This window comes from Homo sapiens, chromosome 6, assembly GCF_000001405.40.
Source record: "Homo sapiens chromosome 6, GRCh38.p14 Primary Assembly".
Classification (NCBI taxonomy): domain Eukaryota; kingdom Metazoa; phylum Chordata; class Mammalia; order Primates; family Hominidae; genus Homo; species Homo sapiens.
In genome coordinates this window covers 160,044,227-160,066,579 of record NC_000006.12, presented here as the reverse complement: position 1 = coordinate 160,066,579, position 22,353 = coordinate 160,044,227, and the positions used below count along the sequence as shown (strand labels likewise).

The 22,353-nt window shown below is 45.6% G+C and overlaps 1 protein-coding gene across 1 annotated transcript in view; it reads right to left on the bottom strand.

Moving 5' to 3' along the window:
• Window positions 1-22,353, bottom strand: part of IGF2R (insulin like growth factor 2 receptor) — a 142,423-nt gene that overhangs the window by 44,925 nt on the left and 75,145 nt on the right. The window contains exons 13-29 of the mRNA NM_000876.4: window positions 21,923-22,066; window positions 20,698-20,835; window positions 19,935-20,082; window positions 19,244-19,421; window positions 18,673-18,788; window positions 18,037-18,205; window positions 15,928-16,107; window positions 10,055-10,156; window positions 8,456-8,557; window positions 7,482-7,674; window positions 5,863-6,033; window positions 4,934-5,077; window positions 4,652-4,827; window positions 3,961-4,048; window positions 2,950-3,165; window positions 2,049-2,179; window positions 1,679-1,776 (exon numbers count right to left, since the gene is read on the bottom strand). Coding sequence (NP_000867.3) covers window positions 1,679-1,776; window positions 2,049-2,179; window positions 2,950-3,165; window positions 3,961-4,048; window positions 4,652-4,827; window positions 4,934-5,077; window positions 5,863-6,033; window positions 7,482-7,674; window positions 8,456-8,557; window positions 10,055-10,156; window positions 15,928-16,107; window positions 18,037-18,205; window positions 18,673-18,788; window positions 19,244-19,421; window positions 19,935-20,082; window positions 20,698-20,835; window positions 21,923-22,066 — 2,494 coding nt within the window. The remainder of the gene's footprint in view (window positions 1-1,678; window positions 1,777-2,048; window positions 2,180-2,949; window positions 3,166-3,960; window positions 4,049-4,651; window positions 4,828-4,933; window positions 5,078-5,862; window positions 6,034-7,481; window positions 7,675-8,455; window positions 8,558-10,054; window positions 10,157-15,927; window positions 16,108-18,036; window positions 18,206-18,672; window positions 18,789-19,243; window positions 19,422-19,934; window positions 20,083-20,697; window positions 20,836-21,922; window positions 22,067-22,353) is intronic.

The window sequence follows — 22,353 nt, the reverse complement described above, 5'->3', positions numbered from 1 at the left end:
TTCATCTATTAATATTTTTGGACTCTCAATTACAATAGACATATATTAACTTTTATTATGAGATTATAAAATTCTCCTCTGATTTAATTCTACTTTTAAAAACTTAGCATAAAAATATCTTTAGGAAGGCCGGGCGCAGTGGCTCACACCTATAATCCCAGCACTTTGGGAGGCCAAGGCAGACGGAGGATGACCTGCAGTCAGCAGTTCAAGACCAGCCTGGCCAACATGGTGAAACCCTGTCTCTACTAAAAATACAAAAAATAGGCTGGCTCAGTGGCTCACACTTGTAATCCCAGCACTTTGGGAGGCCAAGGCGGGCGAATCACGAGGTCAAGAGTTCGAGACCAGCCTGGCCAACATAGTGGAACCCCATCTCTACTAAAAATACAAAAAAATTCGCCAGGTGTGGTGGCGGGCGCCTGTAATCCCAGCTACTCGGGAGGCTGAGGCAGGAGAGTCACTTGAACCCGGGAGGCGGAGGTTGCAGTGAGTCGAGATCACGCCACTGCACTCCAGCCTGGGCGACAGTGCAAGACTCTGTCTCATTAAAAAAAAAAAAAAAAACACCACAAAAATTAGCCAGGCATGGTGGTGTCTGTAATCCCAGCTACTAGGGATGCTGAGACAGGAGAATTGCTTGAACCAGGGAGGAGGAGGTTGCAGTGAGACAAGATCACGCCACTGCACTTCAGCCTGGGTGACAGAGCGAGATTCCATCTCAAAAAAAATACATATATATATATATATATATATATATATATACACACACACACACACACACACACACACACACATACACATATCTCTAGGAAAAATGCTTTATGTGCAAAGAAAATCAAAATTTTATTCCTTGTATATAAATATCAGAAAACTGAAGGCAGCCTCACATGGCAGAAAGAGAACTGCTAAGTGAACTGGGGATATCTACTGAGGACATTTCCCATCCAGTAGAAATGAGAAACAAATTTGTTTCACATGAAAATATTTACAAAATGTTAACTGGAAAAGGTAAGGTTACTAAAATTATGATTTAAAGTCACTGAACATAAATTACTAAATGCTTGCATTTACATACGTTCCTAAAACTTAAATGATGATTTCACCTACATAAATAACCGATGACACAACAGGACAAAGGCCGGAAGGAAACAGAATCACCTGCACTTTCCCCCAGGAAAGTCAACAGTGATCAAGTGGCTCATACTGGGTGTTTCACACGGCAGAACACAGGGCATCCCTCCAAAAAACAGAACCGCAGACCCACAAAACCAAAATCTCTAAGGATGGGACCCCAGGTGTCCAGAGGGCGATCTGGCAAAGCTGTTGAGAGCAGCTCTGTGGACGATCACATGCAACGAAGACCTCCCTTCATCGCAGGGGTCACCACACCGCTCCTGGCCCACTCTGCTCACTGACATGTGGATCACGCAAGAGTGCCAGGGGTCCACTCTCTGCTTCAGCTCCAATCCCTTCCCCATGCAGTCACCACAGCAGCTCCAGGTGGTGACGGAGCTGAGAGTTAACCTAGCCCGACTCCTCATTTTAATATGAGCAAACCGAGTCCTAGGTAAATTAACTGACTAATCTAATCCCCTGCACCCAAGACCACTAATTATTAAAGCAAAATCATACCAAGTTAGTCTGTCCAAAAGAGACAACACATCCATGGACTTACTTGAATGAACATTCAGTCAGATCGAAAGGTGGGCAGGCATACTGCGTTCGCCACTCAAACAAGTAGGAACAATCTGAAGTCTCCTTTAGAAATACTGGCTAAAAAAGTTAAGAGGCACATATATAAAAGTGAGAATGCAAAACTTTAGTTTATACTTTGAGTTTTAAGAATGAAAATAGTAAAGAATGGTTACGTTCATGAAAATCAATACTAACTGATGAAAGTTTCAACATATTTTCTGTAAATGGTTATTTTAAACTCAGTTAACCAGGAGATTTGATGAGATCTGAGGACAGATTCTTTCTAATATGATCCCAGCAGCCTGAGGGTGGGGAGAAGACCCCGCTGAGGGCCGTCGGTACATGCTCACCCGCTGGGTGCCGCGGTCACAGTAGAAGAAGATGGCTGTGGAGCGCTGATAAACCTTATGGCAAGTGTCCCCCCCCGTGAAGTTCATTTTTAACAAGCCATTTTCATAAGTTAGCTTCTGAGTCAGGAGACCTGTAAAGAAGGAGAACATTAAACAAGGTTTGGTTCGGGTCCCTAGGCTGTCAAACTTAGCCTAAGACATGTGACACCACACACCCTGAAGAGTGTGAGACAAAGTATCCCTGGCCTCCCAGCACCATACCATGCACTCCTGTCACATTACACTTTGGGAATAAAATCAGGCTTCCCCTTGTCCAAGGCTGCTGCAACGTCACAGACTGACCCGTGTATGATGACATGAGGCATTCCTTAGCCTCATCACCTAAGGGAATGTCACTTTCTCCACTGTGCCTGAGGGCTGTCCACGTACTCACCACCAGCTACTTTGACTTCATTTTTACAAGTTCCTAAATGTATTTAAATCTTGCCCAACTGCTGAAACAGCATGAATGACCAACAGCGTGCCCTGTAATTTCTACAGCCAAACCTCGTACTAAATGCATTCCCTGTGACTCAATGCTATCAAGTACTACCCCAGAACATCCAACACTGGCTAGCTCACTGTGTCCCAACGTTGTAATAAAGAAGAGAAATATGACCTTAGAGTCAGTAACTGGCATGGCTAACTAAGAATAAAATAGACATGCTCTACCAACATCCTTCAGTATGTACTCTGTTTAAGAAAATCAAGCAAAATCCGAAATATCATTAATATGCTTTTTTTTTTTTTTACAGTAGAACACTCATGTTTCTGACTCAAGGGAAAATTCATCTTCAGCAAAATATTTTAATATTTTAATTCCATTCCTTTGCAACAAAAGGAAAACGACAAACAATGGTACCTGCCACTTTGTGAAATCCCTGCGGTTCCCGCTTTTCCTGACATGAGGAGACCACCTTGGACTTGTCACTTGTGGGGCAGACGTCTGAGGAAAGCTTCCCACAGACCCGGAAGTAATAAGTGTATTCGCCAGCGCTCACGATGGTGTCGTTGAGGCCCAGGGGCTTCAGGTCATACAAGTTGCCATGCCTTGGGTCTTTCACCTCACAGTTGTCCCCTTCAAGAACATGGAAGAAGTGAAGGGCAACTGCAACCACACACGCATTCACATTTTCAAGCAAAAAGCTTTACAAATGGCCGGGCGCAGTGGCTCACGCCTGTAATCCCAGCACTTTGGGAGGCTGAGGCGGGTGGATTACTAGGTCAAGAGATCTAGACCATCCTGGCCAACATGGTGAAACCCCGTCTCTACTAAAAATACAAAAATTAGCTGGGCATGGTGGCAGGCACCCTGTAGTCCCAGCTACTCAGGAGGCTGAGGCAGGAGAATCACTTGAACCCAAGAGGCAGAGGTTGCAGTGAGCCGAGATGGCGCCATTACACTCCAGCCTGGCAACAGAGCAAAACTCGGTCTCAAAAAAAAAAAAAAAAACTTTTACAATTTTTGGTTAGGTAAATACCAGCTATAAATGGGCATTAAAAGCCATTTCCACATGATTTTGTTTATATATAATACAAATCGCCTGGCAAACAGCTTTCTAGGAAAGTCTAGGTCCCCGAATAAAGACTTGCTTCATCAAACAACACAAAACCAAACCCCACATTAGTGTCTTCAAGCATCAGACGCCAAAATCCCATCAATCCAGGCACACAAGGAAAATGTCACTCGTGAAATTAGCAATATGCTTCAGTAAAAAAAAAAGCTCAAGGAAAAGAAATTATCCTCCCCCTAGCGTGTGTCTCATGACCCCAGCTATGGCTGTTATCACACGGTCTCATATCTAAGGCATCGTTCAGAACGTCTGCTACTCTATACATTTAAAATGACTTGTAGGGACAGGCCCAGTCCTACCTTCCACTCTGACAACGGGACAGGCTTCCACAGTTCTCCAGATAAACACGTACTCACAACCATCCTGAAGCTGAAATGCTGGTGAGCCCTGTAATATAAATCAGCAGCCTGATTTGTTTCCTGTTTATTTTAAAAATTAATCAAATGGGGCCGGGCACGGTGGCTCACACCTGTAATCTCAGCACTTTGGGAGGCCGAGACGGGTGGATCACAAGTTCAGGAGTTCAAGATCAGCCTGGCCAAGATGGTGAAACCCCGTCTCTACTAAAAATACAAAAGTTAGCTGGGCGTGGTGGCAGGTGCCTGTAATCCCAGCTACTCGGGAGGCTGAGGCAGGAGAATCACTTGAACCTGGGGGGCGGAGGTTGCAGTGAGCCAAGATTGCACCACTGCACTCCAGCCTGGGTGACAGAGTAAGACTCCATCTCAAAAAAAAAAAAAAAAAAAAAAATTAAATAAATGATAGCCACAGTTAGTACCCAATCTTTGACCTCCATGTGCAAACTACGTAACATTTATTAAACATTTAAGACCTGAAGAAATGAGTGCATTCTCGTCAAACCCTAGCAATGGCTGAAACTCCACGAAAACACAGGCAAGTTTTAAACAAGATAGAAGATTCAGAGGTTCAAGGGAAATGGGAAATGGAGTCACCCGGGGACAACATCTCATTGCTGGTCTGAACACACACCGATATCTGAGCACACTCAAACGTGATCCTGGTGGAGAAGCGCTGGTTCCCACACTTGTCACCGTTGACATACATGATGCTCAAAGATCCATTCGCCGCGGCTTGGGGACTCATCTGCACCACACCCAGATTCCAGCTATTGCCTTCTGACACTAAGCAAGACCCCACTGCGCTGCCTGGAAGAACAGAATAAGTGGTTTGGGCATGAGGAAGGCGATGACCTTGAGTCAAATGCTCTAATAAAATGAACAGACGCCAATCAAGAGACCAAGGAGAACTCACCCTGGCATCCAGGAATGTAAGGGAGAGGATTGCAAACGCTCAAATAGAAAGTCCTCTTTCTCCCATCGACAGAGGTGTCAACAGCCGTCCAAGGTTTCCTGACTGTGCTTAGGCCAGTCAGGTCGTACTCATTTCCAGCCAGGTCTGAAACACAACAAAAAACCACGCTGGAGAACTCTGCCTCCTTGTGAGCACTCAAGAACTGCCTTTCACCCTAAATAAGCCCTGAGGAGGCGTGAACCTGGCATTCCTAACTGTGAGGATAAGGAAATCCACGGGAGGCTGAGAGGCTTTGCCTACAAAACACACCCACTCTGTCCCTCAAAACTGCCCTTCACAGCCGGGCCTGGTGGCATGCGCCTGTAGTCAGCTACTTTGGAGGCTGAGGCAGGAGGATCACTTAGGACCAGGAGTTCAAGGCCAGCCTGGGCAACATAGTGAGTCCCTAAAGACTCTTTAAAGAAAAAAGCCAAACCCCCACTGCCCTTGACAAGGAAGTACCACTGTTGCAGAGCAGGCAGGGTCAATCCCAGAGGTCAAGGTCTCCTGTATACACTGTCAGCTTCCAGGGCACAGCTTAGGGAGTTTAACATCTTTTTCTTTTTTTTTCACCCTCAAATAAGAAGCTCTGACAGTACATGTGAAATGTGTTTCCTCTGCATTTTCTTCTCTGTTCTTAAGATGTATCTGATCCCAAAAGATAGCTTAAAACCATTAACTATATAGTCAGATTCTCTTCAAGAAAAACATTACAACTCTAGGCATCATTCAAAGAGAATATATAACAGAAATGTCACGCTGCCTGCATAACCAAGCATACACACCACACACACACAAATATACATACACACAGAAACACACCTTCATATCCACTCACACACACACTGACTCTTGACCGGCCTCTCAGTTCTTAGGCCGCACGGCCTTACCGGTGACTTGGCAGTCCACTGGAGAAGGAACACAGGCCAACGCGGTTTCAAACTCAAAGTAAGTGTTTCGGATCCCTTGCCCAGAGTCGATATCTTGATGCAGGAATTTGAGGGGCCCTGAGTAAACATCATCATTGCAAACAAAGCGGACGATAAAAGCATCAGCGGTACCTGTAAAGCAAGAAGGCCCAGATTTTAAGAGACAGAACAGTATTCATGGCGCAGCCCACAAGCACAGTGCAGCAACAGGACAAGGCTGCCACTGGCAACAAGCTTCACAGCCGTTCGTGGGAGCAATGACACCAGGGCACCAAGTGTGTATCGAGGGACTCGACATGAACAAAGTGGTCACACTCGCTACAACAGTGGCCTATGACAGGTTTACACACTCACTGCAACAGTGGCCTGTGTTACAACAGGTTTACACACTGCAACGGTGGCCTGTGTTATGACAGGTTTACACACTCGCTCCAATGGTGGCCTATGTGATGACAGGTTTACACACTCACTGCAACGGTGGCCTGTGTTATGACAGGTTTACACACTCGCTCCAATGGTGGCCTATGTGATGACAGGTTTACACACTCACTGCAACGGTGGCCTGTGTTATGACAGGTTTACACACTCACTGCAATGGTGGCCTATGTGATGACAGCTTTACACACTGCAACAGCGGCCTATGTTATGACAGGTTTCTACCATAAGCCTAACATCCTGGCATTCCTACTCTTCCAGAAAATATTTAAATCCCACGAGTTTACCAATCCAAGCATTAGAAGACAATGTAACTCTAATTCGTTGGCTTATTGAACAAATACTAAGTTCCTACCATGTATCGGAATGAATGAAGCAGACGAAAACCCCTGCCTGCAGCTGTGCTGGTTGCAGAGCGAGGAGCAAGTACAAAGATTCAAGAGGGGAGGGTGGGAGACAGTGCACTTTGTTTATATCAGAAACAGGGAGGCCAGCGGGCCAAGCGGGAAGAGCAGCAGGGGGTGATCATCTCAGAGAGCCCCCACGGGCGTCCCATGGCCGTACTGTGGACACTGGCTTCTACTCTAGGTACAGTGCAGAGCCTCCGAGGGCTCTGAGCTGGGAAGTGATATGATGTGATGTTTCAGAAACATCACTCTGACTGCTGTGTTGAATACAGGCTACAGCAGCCCCCCTTATCTGCGGGGGGATATGTTCCGAGACCCACAGTGAATGCCTGAAATTGAGAACCCTATATATACTATGCTGTTTCCTATACACACATACAGAGGATGAAGCTCAATTTGTAAGCTAGGCACAGCAAGAGATCAACAATAAAACAGAACAACTGTAACAATATCTGTAATGACAGTTACGTGAATGTGGTTTCTCTCATTCTTTCTCACAAAATACCTTATTATTTTCGGACCATGTGATACCACAAAAGTGAAGCCACGGATAACGGGACCCCTGTATTCTGCGAGGTCAAACGCAGGAAGACCACCGTGATGGCTCCTGCAGCAAGGTGGACAGCACAGCCCATGGTGGCGGGGGATGTGCACATCCTACACTCAGGAAGGTGCATGGCCAGCCACAGAGCCACCAGGGCCCTTTTTAGCTACAAAACAACATGGCTCTGAGCTCACCTTTGGCAGAGAGAGGCCCTTTGTAGGTCAGAGTGATGAAGCCCTCTGTGGACAGCTGGAGGCTTTTCTCAATTCCGACTGGCCTTGCTGGCTTCCAATTCTTGAGCTCTTCAGTTTGGGTTTCTGCCTCACAGCCAGAAGCAGGTTTTCCCAGGATGGTCCCACAGACAGGCATTGTGCCGCAGACATTAAACTGCAGGTCAGACGGTAAGAGCCATACAAACAAATTTATGCCTCGTATCTCACCACAGACAAGAACCCTAGCAACTCCAAATCCCACTAGGTTAAACATTTCTTATTTGTTAGTTAACTTGCCAACTTTCCACTTTCTGGCATGTTAGTACAGTTAGTACATAAGTCCAAAGGGCAGTATCTATAAACTGCCTTTAAGGTTTAGTATCTATACATCATTTAAATTCATACATCCCCGTATCTATAAATGTGTAAGATCTACTGCATGTAATAATGTACCATATATAAGAGAGGGAAGACACAGAAGTCATAATGTTATAATATTTTCAATTATGAGAAAGTATGTATCATTGAAATCATGTTAATTACAAGTAAATATAAAGTGGTACCCTACATTTCTTAAATTTGTTATTCCATTAAAAATTATTATATTATAGTTGTAAAAATGAAGTCAATTATGCTCTCTGGTGTGAAGATACAGTAAGGAGAGACCAATGGACAATGAGTACAGGCTTCAGCACTACCTTTAGAAAGTGTTTCCTTAAAGAGAACAACTTATTATTTGAAGAATAACAGTCTTCACGTCTGAACTGTGCCAGAATGGTGGTAAATGGTTTTACTTCATCTTTCCCTTAAATCTGGATTTTCCCATCTCCTTCTGAGTAAGAGCTGCCACCACAGTGGCCTGGGCAATTCTCTCATATCACCACGTGCAGGTGACTTCAATAATGCACTCTCCCCCTGTTTCAAAGCAAACTGGAAATGCATCATATCGCTCTTACCATAAAAATCTTCCCAATGCCAGAGACGTTATATCCTTGCGAACTGTTTAGCGGATTAAGATTAAACACAAATCCACTGTTGGGATCCCTTATAGAGCAAGCCTACAGGAAACAAAATGGGGAAAAAGGGGCGCATTCAAACCAATTCCACAGGAACATAACATACATACAGCACCTCCAGAAACCTGCAAGTATGCACCTGACAAAACTGTTTCTCCATTTACTTTCAAAATCCCTATCAAAAATGTAGCCCTACATGTAGCCTCTTCAAATACACCACCCTGAAGTATACCAAGTGTGAGCCCAGACTCAGAAATTACACTCACCTGGAAGCTGTTAAGGCTACTGCATTTCCCTAAGAAGACTATTGCTACTCCCTAAAGTTGGAGAGGAAATATAAGACTCATAAATTAGTTTCTTAAAGAAAATAAACATCTTAAGAAATCTCATGTTCTGTTTTCTGTCTCAATTATTCCCTTAAGGTAATCATGGGAAGTATGACCAGGTGACTGTCAAATGATATCCTCTCCTCTCCATATTTAACTTTGCCCTGGGCCTCCCTCTGTCCACTGAATGCAGGGAAGGAGACGGTGGCCACAGCCCCAGAAACATTGTCCATGAACAGGGTGCCTGGCATCCTGCCCTCACTGAGCAGTTACAAAGCCAGGACCCTGTGCTGGGGCCGTTGGTTTGGAAAAGCCTTGGTCTCTGCTGCCAGAGTCTGCAGTGTAGCTTAGAACAGGAAGTGGGAAGGCAAACAGGTCCCACCATAAAGAAATATACACGGTGCTGTGAAAACAACTCACTACCTTGGGGAGGTCAGAGAGAACGTCACTGAGCAGCTTACTACTATGCCCTGCAGGGTGCACTCAACAAGTGGAGGGCATGGACCCGGGCAGAAGGCGGGAGGAGCCAGTAGGCACTGAGAGACTCAAGTGGCACATTAACACCTGTGGGCTCTGCACTATGCACAGGGCCACGGTGAGACACACAGGCCTCACCCTATAGAAAGGATCATATTAACACCTGTGGGCTTTGCCCTACACACAGGGCCACGGTGAGACACACAAGCCTCACCCTATAGACAGGATCACATTAACACCTGTGGGCTCTGGCCTATGCACAGGTGAGAGACACACAGGCCTTACCCTATAGACAGGATCACATTAACACCTGCAGGCTGTGCTCTATGGATAGGGTCACATTAAAACATACGGGCTCTACCCTCTAGGGGACAGGCACTGAGATGGTTTAGGTGTGGAGTGACGTATCGACTAGTCAGACATCTGCCGGTGGTGCAGAAGCCCCAGAGCCCACCAGGATACCACTGCCACATGGAAGGCACAAAGGAATGGAAACAAAAGGAAGGAAACTACAGTGAGCAGAGAGTAAGACTGAGGGACCTGGTTCTTATCCCAGGAGCTGGGAGCTGCGGAGTGGAGAGGAACTCTGGGTGACCTGCAGACACCCATTGTCAATGCAACATAGTAACTGATTCAGAAAGAAGGGGCAGGGGTCGGTTCAGAGCTGGAACACTGGGGTGAGTTGAGGATGTCCAGCAGGCAGCTCAGCACGAGGGCCAGGTGAAAGCACACGTACCTGGTCTGTATCCGTCGTTGTCTGAATGGGACAGGCAGCCTCTGTGTTCCACAGGAAACTGACCACACACTCCCAGTTGAGAGAAAAGATGGGGTGGCTGTTCTGAATGGGCAAATCCAGGGTAAAAGTCAATACAGTAACATGGAACTTGATAGAACCAAAAGAATACTCGCCTGAGACATAAAAATAGCCAAAATCTGCTAGATGTTTATTATGAGTCAGCCAATAAGCTAGGCACTTAATGTGCATTACCTAATTAGAATTTAATGTTCTCATTCTCCCTATGAAGACAAAATAATCTCCTACGCTTGGATATTCAGAAATATAGAAATCGTGCCAGCAGTAAATGGTAGAATTCAGATCCAAACCTAGGTCTGAGCTCAAGGTTCTGAAAAGTACCCTACACAAAAAGTTGAATGCAAGAAGCCATACACAAAGGCAACGGTACGTAGGATTCACTGACATCAGCTCAGGATTGGGCAACAATGGCCTGCGCTGTCAGAGGTCAGGAGGATGCTCAGCAGTGGCAGGAAGAGGGCACAGGAGGGCTCCTAGGGGGAAGCATGTTCTTTCTTGATGTGTAGTTTATGGACACTCACCCAGCTGTGTCACGTTATCATCTGTGTGCCCTTCGGTGTGTATGTTTCCATAAAAAGCTCCCCCAAAGAGCCATTAGCTTTGTGAGAGCACCACCACCACACAGGCAATGGTAGCTGCCGATCAGGGAGTGTTTATCACACACCAGGACTGCACTATGAGTTTTGTTAGTATTTCTCAACTGCGCCTCACAGTGACCCACAAACACAGCCTACAAATGAGAAAACTGAGGCACAAGGAAGTTAAGACACCTGCCCAGGGTCACGGGTTCAGGAACAACAGCCACTAACACTGAGTCCACACCCTTGGCCGTCAAGGGCTCTCTACCCTTGAAAGCCCCCACCCACTCCAGGCCTCAGCAACACTAGCAGTAGAATAAAAACACACCTGCTCCTTCCACTTCACAATGTGCTTGTGAAAGGGACTGAGCTTTAGCCTGTGAAAGTTCTGTGACTGCAAACCCCTGGGAGAGCGGCCCTTTCTTCCTTCAGTGAGTGTATTTCCTGTGCTGCAGGCCCTATATGAGTGCTGAGAGACACGACAACAATGTGAAGCTACCCTGTAAACTAAATATGGTATCACAGAAAAGCTGGAAAACCAAGGGTCCAAGAACTTTCTGGAACTACCCAGTGTCTCAATGGCAACAAGAAACCAGAGAAGGAGGGGGCAGTCCACAGGCAGGGAATGCACAGATGTGCCCAAAAACAGACCAGCAGGCTGAACTGGGCAACCTAGGCATCTCCCCGTGGAACACCAAACCTGGATCCTTCCTGAGACTGAGAGAAGAAGTGGGCGGCCCAAGCTCAGGTGAACCCAAGGAGAGTGTGTACAACCTGGGTAGAACACCTCCCGCAGAGAGCATGGGCCAAGCTCAGCCTGCCCGTCATTCATTCCCTGATCACCGAGATCTTCAACTCTAAAGGAAGTGTCTCTCAGGAAAAAGAGTGTTAGCCAATGACAAAGCAGACCAGGCAGGTGAGTGACGCAGCGTCCACTGGGCCACTGCAGGGAAAGAACGCATCCTGCTGGCTCATTTCAGTGGGGCTTGAGGAAGCTGCCACACACCCTTAACAAGGGATTGTTAATAATTTAGTTGATAATGAACATGGCTTCCAGTCTCTCCACTCTCCTAACCATTTGATAATTTCTCAAAAACACATGACCCTGGTATAAACCTAAAACTACAGGTAATAAGAAATGAAAATAAAATCCTAAGCCCCATAACTGACTGAACACACCCCACTCTTAGCCAAGGGGACTCCAGAGAAACTTAAAAATTGCATTCCTGTCCATGACGGGGTGGGAGGTGAGACATACCCCATTACACCCCTTTCCTCGTTAACCACTAGGCTTTCTTCCCTAAGTGCTAAACAGAAGCCGACCCTTTTGAAAGACTCTGCTGCTGGTATCAACCTACCACCTGACAACGTCCATCCCTTTTTGTGGTTCTGACAACACAACAATCGACCAGCATTCCCTGCTGATAAGAGACCACAACTCCCAGGTGGTCCTGGCCTTCTAAGGAGGCTGCACACAGAGGGCCTTCATGTCCTCTGCTTCACCTTTCGACATACAGGGCCCAACTGTAATATATTTAAATGTTATGTCTTCAACCCAAAATGAACATGGGGACACATGCTGCATACATGTTGCCTACCACGCATGTGTGTGCCATCCCTTCGTGAATATGCATAGCTGCTCCTGTAACCTGCTGAATATGTATACTTGACTAACCTGTTCAGCATCCATTCGTGTCTTAGTCTTCCTCCCTCCCAGCGCTTGTTTCTGGCTTCTGGCCTGAGGCTACACTTCCCAGCCTGTCAGAAATGGCCACCCTGCAGGCTGCAAATCTTTATGAGAAATAAAGCTCTCCTTTCCAAATTAGATTTGAGACCATCAAAAAACTTCTAGGCTGTGTATGGTGGCTCATACCTATAATCCCAGCACTTTAGGAAGCTGAGGCAGGAGGACTGCTTGAACCTAGGAGTTCTAAGACCAGCTTGGGCCACATAGACAGACCCCCCATCTCTTCAAAAAATTTAAAAACCATTTTGATAACTACAGGTAACTCCACCTGTAGTTCCAGCTACTCAGGAGGCTGAGGTGACAGGGTCACTTGAGCCCAGGAAGTCGAGGCTGCAGTGATTCAGTGAGCAATGATTACACCCACTACACGCTAGCCTGGGTGACACAGCAAGACCCTGTAAAAGTCCTGGACATGGATACTGGTGATAAATACAGGACACCAGAGATGTGTATAATATATGTAACCCAAAGACAGTCAGAATGGTCAGTTTAATGTTATATATATTTTACCCCAATTAAAAAACAGAAGCAATTGGGACTGTATAAAATGGCCCCAAAGCATTTCCATGGAGAGAAGAGCAGAGCAAACTCCACACAGTCTGCTGTTGTCCCCTGGCTAAGGAACTCAGGGCCAACATCAATCCCACTCACCTCCTCTACCTCCTAGCCTTAATTCATTTTATTATTATTATTTTTAATACCTTTTTTTATTATATGTTAAGTTCTAGGGTACATGTGCACAACATGCAGGTTTGATACATAGGTATACATGTGCCATGTTGGTTTGCTGCACCCATCAACTCATCATTTAATTTAGGTATTTCTCCTAATGCTATCCCTCCCCCCCAGCCCCCAACAGGCCCTGGTGTGTGATGTTCCCCACCGTGTGTCCAAGTGATCTCCTTGTTCAATTCCCACCTATAAGTGAGAACATGCAGTGTTTGGTTTTCTGTCCTTATGATAGTTTGCTGAGAATGACGGTTTCCAGCTTCATCCATGCTTCTTTTGCCGTGCAGAAGGTCTTTAGTTTAATTAGATCCCATTTGTCTATTCTGGCTTTTGTTGCCATTGCTTTTGGTGTTTTAGTCATGAAGTCCTTGCCCATGCTTATGTCCTGAATGGTATTGCTTAGGTTTTCTTCTAGGGTTTTTATGGTTTTAGGTCTAACATTTAAGTCTTTAATCCATCTTGAATTAATTTTGTCTCAGGTGTAAGGAAGGGATCCAGTTTCAGCTTTCTACATATGGCTAGCCAGTTTTCCCAGCACCATTTATTAAATAGGGAATCCTTTCCCCATTTCTTGTTTTTGTCAGGTTTGTCAAAGATCAGATGGTTGTAGATGTGTGGTGTTATTTCTGAGGACTCTGTTCGGTTCCATTGGTCTATATATCTGTTTTGCACCAGTACCATGCTGTTTTGGTTATTGTAGCCTTGTAGCATAGTTTGAAGTCAGGTAGCATGATGCCTCCAGCTTTGTTCTTTTTGCTTAGGATTGTCTTGGCAATGTGGGCTCTTTTTTGGTTCCATATGAACTTTAAAGTAGTTTTTTCCAATTCTGTGAAGAAAACCATTGGTAGCTTGATGGGGATGGTATTGAATCTACAAATTACTTTGGGCAGTATGGCCATTTTCATGACACTGATTCTTCCTATCCATGAGCATGGAATATTCTTCCATTTGTTTGTGTCCTCTTTTATTTCCTTGAGCAGTGGTTTGTAGTTCTCCTTGAAGAGGTTCTTCACATCCCTTGTAAGTTGGATTCCTAGGTATTTTATTCTCTCTGTAGCAATTGTGAATGGGAGTTCACTCATGATTTGGCTCTCTTTGTCTGTTAATGGTGTATAGGAATGCTTGTGATTTTTGCACCTTGATTTTGTATCCTGAGACTTTGCTGAAGTTGTTTATATGATTACTATTTTGAAACAGGATCTTGCTCTGTTGCCAAGGGGCTGCAGTATAGTAGCACATCCTCAGCTCACTGCAATCTCTGCCTCCTGGGCTCAAGTGATCCTCCCACCTCAGCCTCCCAAGTAGCCAGGACTACAGGTGCACATCACCACACTTGGCTAATTTTTTGTAGAGATGGGGTCTCACTAAGTTGCCCAGGCTAGTCTGAGACTCCTGGGCTCAAACAATCCTCCTACCTCTGCCTCCCAATTTTTTTTTTTTGAGACAGGGGCTCGCTTTGTCTCCCAGGCTGCAGTGCAATCATGGCTCACTGAATCCTCAACCTCCTGGGCTCAAGGAATCCTCCTGCCTCAGCCTCCAGAGTAACTGGGACTACAGGCATGAGCCACCACACTTGGCTAAATTTTTTTTTAAATTTTTTGTAGATGGGGTCTCACTATGTTGCCTAGGCTGGTCACCAATTCCTGTCCTCAAGTGAGTGATCTTCCCATGTTGGCCTTCCACAGTGCTGGGTTAGATCTGAACCACTGTGCCCAGCCCTCAGCCTTAATTTCTTATTCCTGTTTTGTATTACACATACAGCCCTCATCGTTCACCCACAGGCCTGAGCTATACCAAGCCTCAGATTCCTATCTGTGGTCTTTGTGGTTTGGACTGCTGGGGCTCAGAAAGCAATACCCCAAGGATCAGTGCTTTGACATGCTGAGAAGCTGCCTGAGAATCAAGGTCATCCTTTGAACCGTGCCTTGTTACCTCCACCCTCAAGCACAGGGAGAGACTTTCTCTGGAATTTCCTTACCTGACCAAGAAGGCTTCTTTCCAAAAGAAACTCGGAAATCTCATTATCTATCCCACAAAAGAAGACTGAGGACAGCAATCACACCTGGACAGACTTGTGCACAAGATAATGCCTTCCTCATTCAGGCTCCAAAGAGAATCATTTGCAAGTTAATTTCTGTCCATTCTTTCTCCCAAATAATCATTTGCTGCCCCGTCAAAAGAACTGTCTACATCCCCTATCTCCCTCTCCCCTGTGAAATAGGGTACATAACCTTCTGTGTTGCATTAGGCTACTGGGTCATCTTTCTCCTGCTATTTATTCCCCGGTGCTATGCACGTCAAAATTTTAATGTCTTTTCTCCTGTTGACAGCTGATTTTCAGGGAAACTTCAAAGGGTGAAAGGGAAGCTTTCCCTTGGCCCCTACAGGACCAAACTATCTCTAAGCCCCGTTCCACTGCCACGATCCTCAACTCACAAGAACTAAGAGGCAAGATAATGTCTGTACGACTCAGAAAAAAAATCCAGGAAACAGTGTATGTCACCAGAGCCTCAAACTCCGCAGCAAAAGATGAGGCTTACACTTCAGAAATCGCAGCCATGAAGGTACCACAAATCACTCCCTGCCTGTGAACATATATACCGCACACTGACCTTAAGCAGAACTAAGACTGGCCTAGCTCCGCCACCCACCCCAAGACTGCTGCTGTTAAGAGACACATAAGGCAACGCTCAGTCAAAAAATGCAGCAGTGAAGGTCACCAGCCAGCAGCAGTGCCTTACCAGCCTGCCCCTGGAGCAGACGAGATGGATCCTCGTGGTATATGTGGTCTGTCTGCCATCGCTGGTGGTGCAGGCCGACCCATTCACGTATTCCAGAAGGAGGCTGCCGCTGTCCTCAACCACCGGGCCGGTCTTTGCCATTCCCAAGTTACTGATGGAAACCACTTCAGTGAAGGAGCCCTGCAAGAAAACCAGTCTTGTTAGGCTTTTCCCCCTGAAGATACAGTCGATTCGTTATTGGTGGTGGTTACATTCTATAAAGCTGCAGCAAACAATGAATTATTGAATACAGAACCACTGCTCCTGGGGAAATCCCCTTATTACATATGGAATAGGAAACCATCCTCAAAGAGTTAACAACAACTGCATGCTGCGTTCCAGGCATGCAATTGAGCACCAATCAGGCTGCATGCTGGCCTGTAACTGAAAGTCACATAGCACTAGATACTAGTCACATCCCCATTATTGCTACAGAAAGAATCACTGGCATTGGAATCATAAGGCTTTCGTTCAATAATCGTGTAAGATGTTCTTCAGATCCTGAATTCCGGTGGAACGGCTGACACTAACCACTATGAAGACCTCCCTACAGGGAACCAAATGCAGTTTCTTCATCTCCCCATCCGATGACTTCACCCTGCACTCTTCTACCAATAAACAATCCCCACACCTTGGCCCGCTCCAAATCCCTTAAGTCCCTCAACCCAAATTCCTTAGGGAGGTGAATTTGAGGTTTCTTCTCATCTCCTCATTCGCCTGCCCTACAATTAAACTCTTTCTCGGCTGTAATCCCCAATGTCTCAGCGTACTGACTGGCCGCACATCAGGCAAACAAACCTATTACACACAGATTATAAATCTGAAATCCCAAGACAACTCATGCTGACAGATTCTACTCTCTTTATTTTACAGAAGGAAAAACGAGGTTAAGGAGTGTTAAGTGGCTCACCTAAGGCTGCCCCGCTAAACTTTCCGAACACAAGGGAGTAAGTCATGTTTGAAAAGGCTTTAGTGTGAATTCTAGGCAAGAAACTTCTCTTAGGGAGACCTTACCAGGCAGTGCAGCGCGGAAGTTCCAGCTCTGGAGCATCTCTGAGTTGAGATGCCAGAGTTGGAATTCAGACCCCGTCCAACTGGCCCCAGGGCTGGAGCTTTTGCACTGCACTGCCTCGCCCTCTCCATCCCCTGCTCATCTCAGGGTGAGGCAGAAACAAGAGGCCAGAGTGTCCCCCTGTTCAACTTCAACCAGGAACAGGCTTGTCGGGTACTATGCACATTGGGCCACTACACTCGTTCCAACAATGACTGAGAAAGTGTTCCGCGTGGTGATTTTGGAGTTACACGTGTTCTCAAGTAGGCAAGTTCACAGATGCAGAATCTGTGAATAAAGAGGACTGACTATACACTGAACTCATTGCTCCAGTAAAGAACACACATGTGCAGAGGTAAACACAACCAGGAACTCGATTCCTAACCACCAGAGCACACTTGCCACCTTCCTTTCAAAAACCTCCAAGCTGCCATTAGCATACACCAAGAAAAGTACATTCCCAACATGCTATTTTTACAGAAGCCAATACAGATGTCCAGAGACATCTCTTTTAAGATTCACCACGTACAACGACCACAGGAGACGGGTAAATGTTCTGGCGGTGACTGCATTCAACCCAGGGACGAACTGCAGCGAATGAGAGCGTGTGCTTGAATCTGGTTCATCCACAGCAACTCTCCCAAATCGGTTTTTCCCCCTAATCAATCCAGAAACAAGAGCTTTTGGAAGCAAAACTCTCTTTTTCACAGGTGTCTGCTGAAAGCACCTAAAGACACTTTTGAATTCAGGCTAGACATAACCATTCGGTGCTTCCTCTGCCCTTTGTGTGATCAAAAGTCTGCAACACAGCATTCTCCATGTGAACAATGATTCCTGTGTGACACACTTCTGCTCCTACAGGAGGCAGATGAGTTCACATGGAGGCCCCACTCCTACTCAGAGGGTTTCTCTCGAGCAGCTGTGCTGCCTTTGATCTGGATGTCCCAGAATAACCACCTCCTCCCACTAAGTCATGGAATTAGGAGGGCAAAGGAGACAAGCAGTGAAAACAGATTCACCTGATCTTTTTCATACTTCATCTGGCAAGCCGATGCATATCGGTTGCAGCCCGGCACTGGATTCAGAGGCCGACACACGTTAATGTAGTATTTCCTCCACGTGACATGTTCCCCTGAGTTGTCCATGGCATACCAGTTTCCTCCAAGGCCACCTTCAGATTTTGCCAGACTAAAATTTCAAAGCAAAATGTATATGCTTTTAAAGAGCTTACACATTTCAGTCTCATTTATTTCTATGTAGTTGGGGAAGTAAAGCTACCAAATAAAACATGCTCCACCAATCACACTACCAGGAGTTGGCTTGTCTGGGCGCATGACGCACCAGGATTACACTCCACCTTCGCTGAACTCAGTATGCAGTGGACCTTAACTGTCCCCCGTGCCTCTGCACTGACAGTCATTGTTTTAAATGATGAAGCTAAAGGCCGAGGCTCTGCTGTGGCCAAGACTGGTTGCTATCCCAAAGGCGACCAGACAGTTATTAGAATTCACTCTGCTGAAAATGCCCCACCTTGGTCCTGCAGCCCCACAGCCAGCATCACTCCCCATCATCAGCTCAGTCACACGCTCACCAGCAACACTTGCAACCTCAGCATCTGTACCAGGCCAAAAACAGAGCAGCTGACTCTGCCTCACCTGGAGAGGTCGTACTGCTCCAGCGTGGAGGGGTCGGTCACTACGCATTCCAGGGGCTCCTCCGGGCAGGCATAGCTGGTGTACCACCGGAAGTTGTAGGTGGAGTTATCCTCTTCCTAATCCACGGCAGATGCGCGGAGGGATGGCAAAAAGAGAAAGACACGTGACATAAAACCAGGATTCAAAAAAGGACGAGAGCAATGTTCCCAATGAGAAACTGTGAAGAAAAGCTTAGTCTGCCCATCTCCCTTCATTTTATTAAAAAGAAGACTGTCCAGTAACAAATCAGGATGAAAATTTAGCCTCTGCTAAGTGGGGGTTAATTCAGGATTTTTTTTTATGCTTTTGTATGTTTTGTACCCAAAACTGACAGGCTTGTGGGCTGTTATTAAGGTGCACAACCCACTAAATAAACAGCTTAAAATACTAATACTGCCCAGGCACCCTGGCAAATCTAATGACGGTGATGATTTGGCTGGAAACCCAGACTGATACAAGCTCTGCTTAAATGAAAGGCCCACCACAGGCATGAGTATCCTCAGGGAGCGCGATGAGGAACAAACATTCCTACCTGATATTCAGGGAAGCCCACTCCCGCGTCTCGATCACAGAGAAAGGTGATGAGCGTAGCTCTCGGTGTGTGTCTTTCATTGTTATAGGGTGTGCCGCCTCTGTAGTTCAGTTGGATCATCCCATCATAATATGAAAGCTTCGCATTACTCAGACCCAAGTTCCAAGTCTTCTCATCACTGAAATAAACACACGTTTCTCTCAGCAAAGACCTGAGGGGCAGAAGCACTCCAAGGCTGCCACACTGAAGGGAGGGCCCGTGAGCGACGTGAGGAGTCACCAGAACCAGGCCCGGGCTGCAGACCACAGGAACCCACACAAGGTCTCCAACGGCAGCAGGAACACTGGGACCCAAATCTCCTCTTGGCACCGCTGGTTTAGACAACTCACTTCATTTGAACTGCAGTTACGCAGAATGCAGAAATACGCACAGAGATATCTAGGCACTGAGAAGCACAAAATGCGCAATAGTGAGGCATAACCTCAATCCACCCTTCTTTCCCAAGGATGGGCCTGCTCCTTTCTCTGGGAAATTAAACTCCTAACATCCTTCAGTTTTCAGACCAGGTCTCATCAGTATTTAAATGCTTGTCATAAAGCAATGACATTAAGTGAGAACACACCTATTCCTGAAAATAATATTTCTTAGCATATAATGCCTAAGAATGAAACAGAACTGAGAAGCTACTTGCCTTTTTGCCACCTGGCAGGCTCCTGAGTCTGGCTGACAGGGGCTCACAGACACCGGGCCACACACATTTATATAAAAGTCATACTTCTTTGTCTCAACTTTATAGGCACCATTTTTCTTTGTGAGAGGTGATAAGTCAAAAGAAAACCCTAAGAAAGAATAAAAACAATAAAAGTATGGAAGGTCAGTCCGACAGTTAACAGAGTGGTCTCACCCCACAGTTTGAAAGGGAGAGGTTCTTCCCAGGAGGTTCCCAACGGCAGGAAGAAGTGGAGGAGGCAGAAGAGACGCTGCCCCTTGAGGCCACCAGAACCGCGATTACTAACATTTTCCTTGGAGATGGATCCAACTCCACCATTCCCTTCTACTGGGTTAGCCTAAAGCGCTATTCAAAGCCCATAACTGCTGGGCTAATAAACAACAGCATGTTCAAAGTAGGACGAGCATGATATTATGGCCTTCTTGTAAGGTCTCCCTCAGAGAGGTTTCTTGCCTAGAATTCACACGAAAGCCTTTTCAAACATAATTTATTCCCTTGTGTTCCGAAGGTTTTGCATTCAGCAAAACCACCTCAATAATGAATTTAAGATAGTATTTTCAGTATCTCAAATAAGCCTCAAACATCGGATGTTCAGAATTTTGTTCAAACAGCATGAATAAAATTCTAAGGCGGGTCACCTTGAAAACCTCACACAGAATGTTAAGGAAAAAACCTTAAGTGGTTCCAAGTCACATTAAAGCAGAGGTCCTGCTTGGACACAGACCTGCCTGGGAGTCAAAGACCGTGCAGTTCTCCCCTTCTGTCTTAGACAGCACACAGGCCGCAGCTGTGTGCCACTCAAACTCATAAAAGCAACCGCCTTCCCCAGAAGTTCTCAACACTGGTGCACTTTCCAGATCACCTGTCAATGGGGAAAAGAGATGGGGATCACTAATCCGTTCATTCCTAAAATATCTTACCTCATTCTTCTCTGCTAGAAGTAGACTTGGAAGGGACAGTGGGAAATGAGGTATAATGCATAGAAGGGTCAAAAAACAGCCCTACAAATACTGTAGCATTCCACCTATATGAGGTATCTAGAACAGTCAAATCCGTAGAGACAAAAAGTAGAAGAGAGGGAATGGAGAGCTCGTGTTTAATGGGAACTGAGTTTCAGTCTGGGAGGATCAAAAAGTTCTGGAGATGGATGGTGGTGGTATTACACAACAATGTCACCAAGCTACACACTTAAAAGCAGTTAGGATGGTACATTTTACGTTATGTTGTATATTTTACCATATAAAACAAACAAACAAAATGACCCTAGCTTCTGACTTTATCCCACAGCTGGGAACTTATCCAAAGGAAATATTTCAATGGGAGGTAGAGAGAGGATACATAATAGCACAATTAGCAACACTGGAAACGCGCTATTAATCCAACAATAAGGAAAATGTTCAAAAATAGTAAAACCACACCATGTCAACAAGGAAGTTCCTAAAAATTATTAATGGAACTGTGAAACATAGAAAAGTATTTACAAAATACTACACTTTGAGAAACATTAAGATTTGTTACCATAAAAATTTTGACTTGGTAAAAACAACATACATCTATAAATAAAGGTAATGAAAATTAACATTGTGTTTAAGTGGTGAGATCACGGGCAATGTTTTAAACCATTTATGATTTTTTTCCCCTTTGAAGGAAGTTAAGTAACCACATGACTGGCCGAGTATCAGTCCCGAGGAAGAGGATACAGCGCTGAGACCCACAACTCCCTTCTGACACCATCTGGTTTCTCCATTTCTGATTTGGTTTTGAGGAGGGGATGAGGGAAAAATTCCAAATGACCTATCTCCCATCGCCAGAGTCTGGAACTCAAAATGCTGAACACCATGCCAATCTGTCTGATCAGCTTTGCAGTGACTGATGAGGAACAGAGATATGAAGAATGCAGGACCTCTGGCAGAAGCCAGAAAAGATTTCATCTTTTTTAAAATTTTTACCTGGCTTGCATACAAGTGTGATATTAGTTTTAATTTTCTTGCCATGACCACAATCATCACCATCTGAATAAGAGAGTTGAATGTTTCCTTTCTCTTTCATGGGAGAGGAAATAAATTTTCCCAGATTTTTACTTCCATTTTTATCTGGAAGAGAAAGGGGGAGAAAACAGAAGATGTGGTTAAAAATGATCATCACGCAGACAAAGAAGTGACTTAAAAAAAAAAGAAAGAAAGAGAAAGAAAGAAAGAAATCAGCCCAAACCCAGCACGTGCAGCCCTTCTCCAGCCCCCTGAACCCACCAAGGCAGCGGATGGGTTTCCCTAGAGTGCCACGTTTGGCTAGACATTAACAGCCACATTGGGGTCCTCCAGGGTCATCCATAGGTTCAGCCAGAAAGCGCCATGAAGGATGCACAATGCCCTTCCAGGGC